A 14,345-nucleotide genomic window follows, 5' to 3' on the forward strand; every position below is an offset into this window, starting at 1 on the left:
GCATGTCATTCTTAGTCACACCTTCATTTTAAAGATGGAGGAATGGGTGGCAGGAGGGAAATCTGTTACATATTAGTTTCCAGACACTTACTCCTGTGGAGCCATCCTAAGCATCAAGGGTAGAAAGAACGCCTGTGAAAAACTTTGGTCTTGAGAACAAAAGGGTAGTGGAAGGGGAACTCATTAAAGGACCAGCTTTAACATCTACAGTCTTTCCATAGAATTTAGCCCTGAACTTTTCAGTTAATGACAACAATTAGATTCATCTCCTTGGCTACAGTGCAAATTCTTATTAGAGACCATTGTTTCCTGCCTCTCTGTTCCTCTAATGCCACTAATTGATTGACCGATTGGTTGATTGATTGAATTATTGGCTGCCTTTGTTGGGAGATTGGTTGGTTGCTAGAAGGAAGACCTTTTCTATCAAATAACAAAAAAGAACAGTTTAAACATGCCTGTATTTTGAGAAATTTGTACAGAAAACGGAAAGTGATTTTGATACTACACAGATGGAAGGTGGAGCCAGGCAAAGTGGTGATCAAAACTTTCACCTGTAGGGTGGAACTGTTATCTTTTTTCAAGTGGAAAAGAGAAAATCATCTGACAAAAGGTGAAATTAGGCCAGGCACCTGTAATCCCAGCACTTTGGGAGGCCAAGGCAGCTGGATCACCTGAAGTCAGGTTTTCAAGACCAGCCTGGACAACATGGTGAAACCCTGTCTCTACTAAAAATACAAAAAATTAGCCAGGTGTGGTGGTGCATGCCTATAATCCCAGCTACTATGGAGGCTAAATCAGGAGAATCACTTGAACCCGGGAGGCAGAGGTTGCAGTGAGCTAAGATCGTGCCAATGCACTCTAGCCTGGGCGACAGAGCAAGACTCCATCTCCAAAAAAAAAAAAAAGTGAAATTAGGTAAATTGATCTGTTTTTCCCTTAATAATAAAAAGTGACTCTCAAAGTTAACTTATGGAACAGATATTATTATTCTGAAGTAACAATAGTACTCCAAATAATAATCTGAATTAACAAGTACAAAGCTGACAGTGAAGATTTGAGGTACTTTCCAAAATAGATTATTGCTGCAAAATATAAGTTTGAAAACTAGATAAACAGAGTTAATCATGGAAATTGTAGGGTTTTAGTTTTAAAGATTTTATATGGAGAATTTCAATAGTATAATAATATATAATTTCAATAGCAAAAGAGTATATAATTCAAATAGTGTAATAGTATATCATTTCAGTGGTATAATAGTATATAATTTCAATCATATAATTACAATAATATAATGAACCCATCCCCCAGTGTCAAGAATTGTCAACACATGACAATCTTCTTCCACATGCCATCCCCGCTTTACCTCCTTCCAGCCACACTGGAGCAAACCCGGATACCCTATCATTTCATGCAAATACCTCAGTATGTGTTTCAAAAAGATCAGGAGTTTGCTGAGGGTATGTGGTTTGACATAACCACAACACTGCTCCCACATCTAAAAATTAATCATTCTTTAATATCACAGTCACTGTTTGAATTGAGAAGGAATCTTTTGAGAGGGTTCCCTGTAATTGAATATGTTTTACTTTAACATATTTTTAAGTTAAAATGAATATAAACATTATGCACAAGCATAAATATATAATAAAGTAAAATGTAAACTGTGTATAAACTTTTTTGGTTTGTTTTACTTTCTAAAAATTTCTTCAAATATACATAGAATTTAACATAAATATATAAGTGTGGTAATACATATGCTGTTTGGGTTGAGGGGGGAATTTTTTTTCTTGGACTGTTTTTACCCATTTGTCCATATAATAGTAATCCATCAATTTAGTTGCTGCCTTCTGATTTTTTTCTCCAACTTTACACTTCTCACTTCTCTTCTAGACATTGAGGATACTGTGTGAAAAATAAACAAAGTCTCTTGTTGCTTGAGCTTACTTTCTAGTGTTACAGGTATTTATGCATGTAAACATAGACTACACATAGAAAGAGTGATATTTAACTGTAAACATATTAAATATCATTTTCTGAATCTTGCTTTTCTTACTTAACACCATCAAATCAACTGGTTTAGTTCTATTTATCCTTTTTGATGCTTGCATAATACGTTAATATATCCCATCAATTGTTTGGCCATTTTCCTAATAATAAATCTGCCCTTTGTCTACAGGTTTTTAGCAGGTGGGCCACTAGAGGCATCCTGACTCTAGTGTCATTTACCTCTGGTGTTTTTTCGTTTTCTTTTCCTTGTGGATTAGATTCCAAGGAGTACAATTTCCAGCTCAACAGATATTTATACTTTTAATATATAAAGATCTGAGTTTTTTTTTAAAAAAAGAACATGTTGAAGGAGAGATACCAAGAGACTGGCAGGCAGGAATAAAGGGAAAGAATTTTCCAGGAGGATGACGATCGCCTGTGTCAAATATGAAGTCCAGGGCCTGGGAGGCTCTTCTCATTCTTTCTGCCCAAACACATTTAAGATTTTTCTCTTTCCACCACAAAAAAATGATAAGTATGTGAAGAAATACATATGTTAATAAGCTCAATTTACAATGTAGACATATTTCAAAACATGTTTTACAAAATAAACATACACAATTTTGTCAATTTAAAAAATGAATAAATAAATAAGATTTTTCCCTTAAGATAGTTAATTTTTTTCTAAAAGGCAGGCTCTCAAGAGAATGAGAAGACAAGCCACAAACTGGGAAAAAATATTTGCAAATGATACATCCGAGAAAAGACTGTAATCCAAAATATACAAAGAACTCTTAAAACTCAACAATGAGAAAATGAATAACCCAGTTTAAAAATGGGCCTAAGATCAAAACAGACACCTCAGCAAAGAAGATATACAGATGATAAACAAGTATATGAAAAGCTGGGCCCACGTCGCACATCAGTAGACAACTGCAAACCGAAACAATGAGATACCACTACCCATCTATTAGAATGGTGGCAATCCACAATGCTGATGATGCCAAATGCTGGGGGGATGTGGAGCAATTGGAGCTCTCATTCACTGCTGGTGGGAGTATGCAAAATAGCACAGCTACTTCAGAAGACAGTTTGGCATTTTCTTATAAAACTGAACACACTCTTAAAATATAATCCACCAACTACAGTCCTTAACATTTTCACAAATGAATTGAAAAACTATATCTACACAAAAACCTGCACATGGATGTTTACAGCAGCTTTACTCATAATAGCCAAAACCTGGAAGCAACCAAGATGTCCTTCAGTGGGTGGAAGGATAAATGAACTGTGGTACATCTAGATAATGGAATAGTATTCAGTGCCGAAACAGAAATGAGCCATCAAGTCACCAAAAAGACGTGGAAGAACCTTAAATGCACATTACTAAGTGAAAGAAGCCAATCTGAAAAGGCTACATGCTGAGTGGTCCCACCTATATGACACTCTGGAAAAGGCAAAGCTATAGAGATGGTGAAAAGATCAGTGGTTTCCAGGGACCTGGGGAGGAAGGGCTGAGTAGGGGGAGGGCAGGGGATTTTTAGGGCAGTGAAACTACTCTGTATGGTACTATAATGGTGGATACATTCCTTAAAACCCACATAGAACGTACAACAAGAGGGAACCCTGGGTAAAGGAACTTTGATAATGATGTGTTAATGTAGGCTCATCAATTATAACAAATGTATCATGCTGGTGAGAAATGTTGATAGTTTGGGAAGCTATGGAGGGTGGAAAGGAGGGTGGGAAGCTATGGAGGGTGGGAAGGAGGGTGGGAAGCTATGGAGGGTGGGAAGGAGGGTGGGAAGCTATGGAGGGTGGGCACATGGGAATTCTTTATTTTCTGCTTGATTTTGTTGTGAATCTAAAACTTCTCTTAAAAATAGTGTATTAAATTTGAAAACAAAAAAAACAGAGGCTCAGGTTTGCTTCAGTTCAGGGAAGTTTTCTTTTATTGTTAGTATCATGGTCACCTCTCCTCCGTTGGTTCTATTTTTTCCTCTTTCTGCAAGTCAAGGTTTCTCTATTCACAAGTCAAGGTTTTAGGATCCATCCCATGTTCCTTACCCATTTCTACTTGCTTCCCATCTCTTTCTACATTTGCTCTATACCACCCTTTTCATCAAGGGGTCTGTCTGCCCTTTGACCCTCCAGGAGAGCTGACCATATCTTCACGGTGATCTTCCACTTTTTCAGTTAATCTACTGAATGGTATTTAGTTAGGAAATTATGATTTTTAGCTCCAGAAACTCTTTTTGTGCCATATTTGAATCTCCTTCAATGCTCTGATTTTGAAATTCATACTGTCTTGTGTCTCCTACACCAGCTCTGCCTGTGCTGCCTCACCCTTCTCTCCCTGGAGAAAGGCCCCTCCAAGAGGCTGTTGCTTTTCTTTGTTGGCTTCTGGTAGATGTGCTCCTGAAGGCAACTGTCTCAAAGGTGGGAGGAGGCAGCGCACTTGCCAGTGTGGCTCGGGTTATGAAAGCACAGGCTTTTAGTCCCCTGCTGAGGATCCTGCACAAAGCCTCTACTTCCAGCTTCAGGGCCAGGAAAGACTCAGCCCACACACCCAGTTGCCTCTTGACCCCTTCAGGGCCAGAGAGAGCAGGTCCACTCACTCAGGACTCATGTCAGCCTTCTCCCCACGACTCCTTCAGAGCCCCAGCTCTCCTTGAACCCAGCTCCGCACTGAGCACAGCAGTAGCCTCCCTTAGAAGAAGGGAAGAGAGACTAGAGCCAGAGCAGAGGGTAGGTGAGCTAGGTTCACTGGGGGAGCGCCAGCATGAACCCTCAGACAATCACGACTTCCAACCAAAGTCCAAGCAGGAGCAGCTTCAGAAAACACTCCAGCCTTCTGGTGGTCCACATTGTTCTTCCTTACTGTTGATGGTATTTTGGTGGAAACAGTGGAGAAAAACTGAACCACTGAAAGCTGAAAGAACAGGTAAGTGAGAATGACCAGGTACACTGAAAACAGATGCTTAGAAACATGACGATCTTTAAAAGGAGTTCTTAGACCAGGACTACCTGGTTCAACTGCACTTAGCCAGTCATACAGATTAATATGTGTTACAGCTAAATGTCTGTAGCAGGCAAACCCCCAAATCTCAGTGGCTTAACCTTGTAGAACGTTATTTCCACTTACATAAAATCCAGTTGGAGAGATGGTATACTCCATGAAGTCACTCAGGGGCCCAGGCTGACAGAGCCTCTGCATCCTTCAACAGCAGATACTCAAGTCTATTCAAGAGTCGATATGTAGTCAGCAGACATGAGGAAAAATCAAGACTTTTTCCTGGGAGGTGTTTCTTTGCCCATCATGGAGGTTACCCACATTAACTCCACTCATATTCCATTGGCCAGAATTCCATTACATGATCTTACCTAGCTGCAGGGGAGGCTGGGAAATGCAGTCGCAGGAAGAAAGGAAATCAGGTCTGTTGAGTGTGTGGCACATCTTCCCAGAAAGCCCGATTCATGAATATATACTGTGCTTATAACCCACTAAGATCCTCTATTTCCAAACCGTATTAATTACCTAGACCTCCAAAACTAACATAATTTTTCAGATTTCAGCTTTTGACAAATCACTTGTTTTGTAAGTTTCCTCATTGTTGTCAACTTTAAGGGAATTCTGCATTTATCCAAGTGATCTAATGAAAATCCTAAACAGTAAATGTTTTCAGTAAGTAGGATATTACTTATGAAATGTATTAAAAGCTTAATAATATAAATGGACCTCCAGGTATATTGCATTACTAGGTTACAAAGAAAAAGAAATTTCAACCAAATGTAGCAGTAGTCCGAGCGGCCAGCTTTCTCAGTCAAGTGCAGCAGGACCCGCCTGGCCAGAGGATGCCAGACCAGAGGCCACCTGGTCAGCAACCTTGTTGTCTTTTGACCCAAGATGCAAAAACGATAGCATAGAAGAGCCATGTTCTGGTAAATAAACCAGTGGGTCCACAAACAAGAACCACACCCCCCCAGGGAGATATCCCTTGAATCATCCTTCTCCATGGGATCCAGTAGGGTGTCCTAATCCACGTCCCTGAACTCCAGGGTATGCGTTTAGATTTTATCCTTGAAATAGCTCTCAAGTTCATCCACCTCTCCCCATCTCTACCTTTGTCATCTTAATTCAAGCCACTGTCATCTCATCTCTCACCTGGACCATGCATGGCCTTATAAATAATCCCCTACATTCATTCTGTCTCCTTCCAATCCATCCTGTCCCCTGGTTAAAACAACAGAACAGTTTCTCATTGCTCTTAAAATGCAAGAACCCAAACACGGCCTATGAGAGCCTGCACAGCTCCTTCCAGCACCTGCAACCCCATCTCCCACCACACTACACACTTTGGGCCCAGCCTCCTGCTCTTTACACACATACTTGGTCTTCCCTTTGCTCACAGTACTTCTCCCTCCACTCCACCTCCTGATCTCTGCTTGAACCTCATTTTCCAGCCAAACTTTCCTAACATCCTTGAGTAGGCTATATCTCCACCATGCGCTCTCCTTACACAGTGCACATCTCCTGCACAGCATACAGTGACCCGCTTAAGATCCACAACTCCTATAGAGAGTAAGGTCCAAGGAGGCATTGTACCCGCACAGCCAGACAAGTCACCTGGCACAGAACAGGTAATTAGTAAATATGTGTTGAATAAACAAAATAAAAATGGAAGTGCATGCGAATAGTTCTCGGCGGTTCACAAAGTCCTTTTGCACCCATTACGGCATGTGTCCCTCACACCTTTACTTTGAGGTCAATACTATCCCCTCCTTTCTATAGATGAGAAAACTGGGAGTGCTCAGATTTAGTTTAGTGTTAGTCCCCTGTGGCTTTTTAAAATTCTGTTTTGTTACTCCTGCTCTTATCATTATTACTTCTGTCCCTGTCTTTTTTGGGTCTGCACTGTTGCTTTTTTCCTTACTTCTTTCTTTTTATTTTTTTTTTGTTTTTTATATTTATTTATTTATTTATTTATTTATTTATTTATTTATTTTGAGACAGAGTCTCACTCTGTTGCCCAGGCTGGAGTGCAGTGGTGCAATCTCGGCTCACTGAAACCTCCGCCTCCTGGGTTCAGGCCATTCTCCTGCCTCAGCCTCCTGAGTAGCTGGTACTACAGGTGCCTACCACCACACCCGGCTAATTTCTTGTATTTTTAGTAGAGACGGGGTTTCACTGTGTTAACCAGGATGGTCTAGATCTCCTGACCTCATGATCTGCCCGCCTTTCCTTACTTCTTAAATTGAAACTCAACTCGCTGTTTTATTAAACATTTAAAGTCAAAAATCTCCCTCCATATATTCCTTTAACTACATCCCACAATTTTTGATAGTGTTTTTACAGTTATTTAGTTCAAAATATTTAAATTCACTATTATGATATTTTCTTTGATTTATAAATTATTTAGAATTATTTATTCAGCTTTTGAAACACTGATAAAACACATGATCTTTTTGGCTATCTTTTTGGTTGTTGCTCTTAAATTCTGTGCTATTTCAGTCAGACTTGTGTTATTAACAATATTAAATTATTTGATTTTGTTGAGATTTCCTTTATCGTCAAGTACATCATGAAGTATTTTTAAATGTCCCATGAGTGCTTGAAAGACTGAAAGTTACATTTGGTGGCCCATCTTGGGTTAGGGGCTGCTGGACTTAAAGCTACCTGCTATTTCTGAGGAGAAACATAGGTTTATAAAGTCTTTGCTTCCATTTTAATAACACTGCAATAAAATAGTAATATTTCTGCTGATGTACATTTTTGGGCCGTTTTTCTCATTTGCTGTGTTAATTGCTTTACAAACATAACCTTAGTTAATTTTTACAATATCTTTAGAGAGTAGTGTTCCCAGTTTACAGACGAGCATATGTGGCTTATAAAGGTTAATCAACTTTCCCAAGGCAGCTGTGCGGTACAGCTGGTTTCAATCTGGATTTGTATGACTCCAAGGTCCACACCTGTGAGTACAACACGCTGGACTGTCCACGGCAGTGAGCTGCCAGGTCTGAGTGGAGCTGGAGCCATGGGAAGTAGATAATCCCTCTTCCCTCCAACTCAAGGAATGTGGGCTCTGTAGGTTACGGGCATCCCAGATAAAAGAAACACATGGTTCCAGCAGGGACTGTTTCCCCTGCTTGATCTTACAACAGCAAATTATTTTCTCCTAATTGTTTCCAGTAGGGATTGAATCAAGTCTCAGCTGCTTATCAAAACCAGAAGCATCATGTATTTTGGAATGAGAAAGACTGGGCAAGAGGGCCTTGGAGCGCCAGGCCAGGAACTGCCCACAACCATCAGGGGCAACTCACTTCCCCTCACGCACAAGGAGGATTCTTCCTCCCTGGACTATCAAAGCAGTCAAGTGTACCTTCTCTGTTTTAAAATGTATCTAACTTAAGGCCAGTCACTGTGGCTGACACCTGTAATCTTAGCACTTTGGGTGGCCGAGGCGGGTGGATCACTTGAGCTCAGGAGTTTGAGACCATCCTGGGCAACATAGGGAGACTCTGTCTCTATAAAAAAAAAAAAAAAAAAAAAAAAAAAAAAAAAAAAAATTAGCTGGGTGTGGTGGTGTGCTCCTGTAGTCCCAGCTACTCAGGAGGCTGAGGTGGGAAGATCATCTGAGCCCAGGAGGTGAAGGTTGCAGTGAGCCGGGATCACGCCACTGCATTCCAGTCTGGGTGACAGAGGGTGACAAAGCCAGACTCTGTCTAAAATAAATAAATATACTTTAAAAAATAATAAATAAAATGTATTCAACCCAGGGTTGCATGTACTGAGATATAGATATAATTATACCATTAAGACTGAAACAGGGTTGAGCACAATGGCTCATGCCTGTAATTCCAGAGCTTCGGGAGGTTGAAGCCAGTGGATCATTTGAGCCCAGAAGTTCAAAACCAGCCTGAGCAGCATGGTAAAACCCTGTCTCTACAAAAACTGCAAAAATGAGCCAGGCGTGGTGGTGCACACCTGTAGTCCCAGCTACAAAAAAAAAAAAGGACTGAAGCAGAATATATGTGAAAGGAGAAATAAATACACCAGGCCGGGCGCGGTGGCTCACGCCTGTAATCCCAGCACTTTGGGAGGCCGAGGCGGATGGATCACGAGGTCAGGAGATCGAGACCATCCTGGCTAACAAGGTGAAACCCCGTCTCTACTAAAAATACAAAAAATTAGCCGGGCGCGGTGGCGGGCGCCTGTAGTCCCAGCTACTCGGGAGGCTGAGGCAGGAGAATGGCGTGAACCCGGGAAGCGGAGCTTGCAGTGAGCCGAGATTGCTCCACTGCAGTCCGCAGTCCGGCCTGGGCGACAGAGCGAGACTCTGTCTCAAAAAAAAAAAAAAAAAAAAAAAAAAAAAACAAAAAAAGAAATAAATACACCAAAAAATCTGTTAATACAGTTACTTTGAGTGAGCATTCAAATACACTGTGAGCTTTCTGGTCACTTTGGCAAAAAAGGAAAAGTGGTGGGTTCTGTAATTTGAAATACCTGAGGAAAGAATGCAAACTCATTCAACAAGGGGGACTTTTTTTTTTGGTAGAAGATCTCTAAAATCCCTCTGCCTGTAGGTTTTATAAGAGCTCAAAGCACATGAAATTAATTCATCTCGCTTGTTTAAACTTCTTCATATTGCTCACTGTTATTGACTACAAACTTCACCTAACGCGAATATTAAACCCACCCATGTGGAAATAACAATTGGCTTTAGCAATAACTAAGAAACTAGTGAAGCAACTCTGAGCCACCACTGCATAGTGTAAGGTACTGGTTAAAATTATGGGCTTTGTAGTCAGAAAGATTGGAATTGCTGTGAATACTAAATACATCTATAAAGATTACCATAGAGCCTGGCAAATGGTCAGTTCTCAATAAACTATGATTTCCACATAATGGGGGACTTGCATTTGACTTTGGCATGCCATAACACTCAACAATCCGACCATCTGTCTAAACGTAAATGTCACCAGTTACAACCTAACCATCCCATCATCTCTCTAAGCCAGGGGCTGAGCATACTCTAGGTCTTGACTGCCTGGGAAGTCTTGGCTCTGCCTCTTACCAGCCATGTGTCCTTGGGCAAGTCTCTTAACCTCTCTGGGCCTCAATTTCCTTGCATATAAAATGAGAATGATAATGGTACCCACCCAATAGAATTGCTATGATGATTAAATAAATGAATATATGTAAAGCGCTTAGGGCAGTGCCTGGTGCTTCATAAGGGCTGTATAAATATTAGCTATTGGCCGGGCACAGTGGCTCACGCCTGTAATCCCAGCACTTTGGGAGGCTGAGGCAGGCAGATCACTTGAGGTCAGGAGTTCAAGACCAGCCCGGCCAACAAAACGAAACCCCATCTCTACTAAAAATACAAAAGTTAGCTGGGCATGGGGACGCACATCTGTAATCCCAGCTACTTGGGAGGCTGAGGCAGGAAAACTGTTCGAACCCAGAAGGCAGAGGTTGCAGTGAGCCAAGATCATGCCACTGCACTCCAGCCTGGGCGACAGAGCAAGGCTCTGTCTCAAAACATTAAATAAATAAATAAATAAATAAATAAATACTAGCTACTGTTACAGTTATTCCCCAACAGAAGAGAAACTAGGCTAACAAATGAAATATATGCCCAATATACATATTTTGGAAGCTCTTTACCACCAGAAAACACACCAGGAATTGAAGTGGGAACTTGAGTTTTGTTTTTTGTTTGTTTGTTTGTTTGTTTGAGATAGGGTCTTGCTCTGGGTCTCGCTCTGTCACCCAGGCTGAAGTGCAGTGGCATGACCATAGTTCTCTGCAGCCTTTAACTCCCAGGCTCAAGCGATCCTCCCACCTCAGCTTCCTGAATAACTGGGACTAAAGGTGTGGAAACTTGAGTGATGTTTGTGTTTGTGTTTTCACTGGAGTTTTGTGGAAGGCCAGATAAGATGTCTATATTCCAAATGCTGAGAGATTGTATTCTGTAGCTGAAACTCCTAGTTCCATATTTGAATAATTATTGAAGCAAATTTGGATCCTATGTGAACATACAGAGCTATTTTCAGTCATTAATTAACAGAGACTTACTGTGGTCATGTGGAAATGGACTCCATTTTCTTTTCCAAAGAATTTACCCACCACAGTTTCATCTGGAAACTGGCCAGCTGGATGAGTCTCATGTGGTTAGTGCTTAATCAGCAGGAATTAACCAGGGACCTTCACTAGAGTGGACCTACCCCAGTTTGGAGACCACTGGAACACAATACAATCTTCAGCAAGTTTCTTCATCTTTCTGACTCTGTGTTTCTCCTTCTGTATAATTCAAACAACCATCTCTGCCTCACAGGGCCATTTACATGATGAAATAAGATGACACAGGAATAAGACACCTCCTAGCTCGGTGCCTGGCCAACAGCAGGCACTTGCTAACTATGCTTTTCATCTATTTTCTTTCCTAACAGATGTGGCCTCTGCCCGGAAGTGAACCTTGAGGTGGCTGACCCTTCTTCATCAAGCAGGGAGCTGTGGTTCAGGGCAGGAGCCCAGGGAGCAGGGGCGATGCAGGGTGTCACTGAGCTCAGACCTCCTGAGTTTGTGAAGTCCAGGAAGCCCCAAGTTGGCAGCGGCCACATGGGCAATTGTCTGAGCAAGGGGAAGAGGTTTCTGGGCCACTGTCAGTACAAACAGGGGCTTCCTCAAAGGCATCAGCTGCAGGCCGAGGAACGGGAGAGCGGGATGAGGCAGTGAGGGTCTTTGGAGGAGTTCTGAAAGCTTGTCTGGGGTCCCGCTTCATCTTTATTATTGTTACAAATTAGTTCCATGAATCAGTCAGGTCATTGAGGTTACTCTGAAAGGAAGCATTTGAGAAGTGGGAGGATTTCTTCTTTCATTGTTGGGTGACTAATACAACAATCTTTATTTATATATTAGTCATGGGATTCTGTGAGTATTTTAGGAAAGAATAGGGACCTTTCATTCAACACCCAAAGTCTCTGTTTTTAAACTCTTCAGAAGGCCCTGGGAGGAAAACACCTACCCAGCTATCTTTTCCACCCAAGTAAGAAAACAAATGATGCTGAGAACAGCTTCCACATAAAATAGAGATGCTGAATTCATCCTTGGTTTTTAAAGCATCCACTGAGAAATTCTCAGAAAATGGAGCAAATGGTGTAGTGTTCATCCACAGACACTGGAAGAAATAGAAAAGGAACATTCTTTAGTGAAATGAAACCCTTTGAGTTCTGGGTGCTTCACAGTATTTGGGGACTCCCCTTGTGGCGCAAGCTGCAGTAGGAGCTACAGGAATTCAAGAGACAGCAGGAAATCGCCAGTCAGGGGAAAACTGGGCAGAGAGGAGGGCAAAGTACCAAATACACCCTCACCAGGCTGGGCAGACTTTCAAAAGCTGAGTAATGATGTGGCATTGTTGCCTGAGTGCCCAGATTTTACTCACCCTCATGTTTGGGTATACAAAACATTATTTGCGGATCTGGAAGGAGAGATACCCTCATGTCATGGTGAGAGTTAAGTTTAATCATTCAGAGATACAATAACCCAGTGATTCCTAAAAACAGAGCTCACATCAAATGAGCCCCCTGCTGTAGAAATCACGATCTTCTGACTGAAAGATTTCTTTCTTTTCTTTTTTTTTTTTTTTTTTTTTTTTTTGAGGCAGAGTCTCTCTCTCACCCAGGCTGGAGCGCAGTGGCATGATCTCGGCTCACTGCAACCTCCACCTCCCAGGTTCAAGCAATTCTGCCTCAGCCTCTCGAGTAGCTGGGACTACAGGCATGTGCTGCCACACCTGGCTAATTTTTATATTTTTAATAGAGACAAGATTTATCCGTGTTGGCCAGGCTGGTCTTGAACTCCTGACCTCAGGTGACCTACTGCCTCAGCCTCCCAAAGTGCTGGGATTACAGGCGTGAGCCACCACGCCCCACTTAAGATTTCTTTTTTAATTGTCAGTTTCTAATGTATCATTACTTCTTCCCCAAATCACTTAAATCAGACACTTGATTTCAACCAATCAGTAGCTTCTACAGGAAGTGTGGCCTTAATCCTTTGCTTATTTTCCAAAATGTGCCCATGACACACCCAATGTGTAATCAATACATATTGTTGCCTGTGTCTACCATACCCTGGAGACTGAGCCAAGAACAGAGTGATATAAACAAAACATAAACATACGACAAGTTAAATAACAACCCCAAACAATGAACACTGAAGATACAACAGAAAATCTATGTTTAATTTGCAAATAACACTAGAGAAGATGAAACACCAAGTTCCATGCAGAGAACCAGCTCTGTGGTCCACAGTGGGCTGGAAGTCTTAGGGGAGAGATAGATGAGTCTTGACATAAACCTTAAAATATAAGTAGAAGTTAAAAAAACATGAGAGGCCAAAAGAAGACATTCCAGGGCAGAAAAAATATATATATATGTGTGTGTGTGTGTGTGTTTGTGTGTGTGAGTAAAGGCTAGAAGTCTGAACAATGTTGGTAAAGTTTCTTAAAGGGAAGCTTTATCGCCTGAGACCAGGACCAACCAGCAGAGAAAGCAGTAAGTAGAAGAGCTAATCTGATCTCTACCTCTTTAATGAAAATGCAGAGCCCCAGTTGGGGGCACAAGGGGAATCTCTGCTTCCCATGGGCCCTCAGCCCCAAACCTTGGGGAGTGGGTGGTCCCAAGGGATTGCAATCTTGGCTCTTGGAAGTGCCCAGTACCTAGACCAGGAGCAGGTGAGAGGCCCCAAAGTCGCTCACCATCCCAGGGCAGGCCAAGGCACTTAGGGCCCATGCTGCACCCGACTCCTCTGCACACAGGGGTAGAGAGTGACAGGAGGCCATGGACCTCCCCACCAACACCCCTAGGCAGAGAAAGACAGGGCTCTGGAGCAGAGTGCAAAGGGAAGCTGCGCAGGGCCAGGTACCCCAGGAGGCTGGGTGCATGCGACTGCGAGCAAGTCCCAGAGAGGCAGTGGGAATACCTGGTGCACCCCTCCCATCGGACTTCACTTACAAAATGCAAATTCCAGCCAGGCACAGTGGCTCACGCTTGTAATCCCAGCAATTTCAGCGGCCGTGACAGGCAGATCATTTGAGGTCAGGAGTTTGAGACCAGTTTGGCCAATATGGTGAAACCCCATCTCTACTAAAAATACAAAAATTAGCTGGGTGTAGTGGCGCATGCCTGTAATCCCAGCTCCTCAGGAGGTTGAGGCAGGAAAATTGCTTGAACCTGGGAGGCAGAGGTTGCAGTGAGCCGAGATCACACCACTTCACTCTAGCCTGGGTGACAGAGGGAGACTCCGTCTCAAAAATATAAATAAATAAAACGCAAATTCCAATAAGATTAAGAATCTC

The 14,345-nt window shown here is 42.1% G+C and overlaps 1 long non-coding RNA gene across 2 annotated transcripts, besides 1 other annotated feature; it reads right to left on the reverse strand.

Moving 5' to 3' along the window:
* Positions 1 to 3,915: 3,915 nt before the first annotated feature.
* Positions 3,916 to 12,595, reverse strand: LOC105378085 (uncharacterized). Of its 2 annotated transcripts, XR_943179.3 has the most exons (3): positions 11,066 to 12,595; positions 5,132 to 5,386; positions 3,916 to 4,918 (listed from the first exon to the last, which is right to left on the reverse strand). It is a non-coding gene; the product is annotated as an uncharacterized LOC105378085 (long non-coding RNA). The 2 variants fall into 2 exon arrangements; XR_001744434.2 differs by lacking the exon at positions 11,066 to 12,595 and having other exon boundaries at positions 5,132 to 6,922.
* Positions 11,193 to 12,392: an enhancer, noted in NCBI's record as "P300/CBP strongly-dependent group 1 enhancer chr6:160015262-160016461 (GRCh37/hg19 assembly coordinates)". NCBI's record gives its function as "activates an origin of replication core promoter dependent on BRD2, BRD4, P300/CBP, MED14 and CDK7 cofactors, with strong dependence on P300/CBP, by STARR-seq in HCT116 cells {active_cell/tissue: HCT116}" and the evidence as "EXISTENCE:reporter gene assay evidence [ECO:0000049][PMID:35650434]".
* Positions 12,596 to 14,345: the final 1,750 nt, after the last annotated feature.

This window comes from Homo sapiens, chromosome 6 (assembly GCF_000001405.40).
Source record: "Homo sapiens chromosome 6, GRCh38.p14 Primary Assembly".
In the NCBI taxonomy this organism is placed as follows: domain Eukaryota; kingdom Metazoa; phylum Chordata; class Mammalia; order Primates; family Hominidae; genus Homo; species Homo sapiens.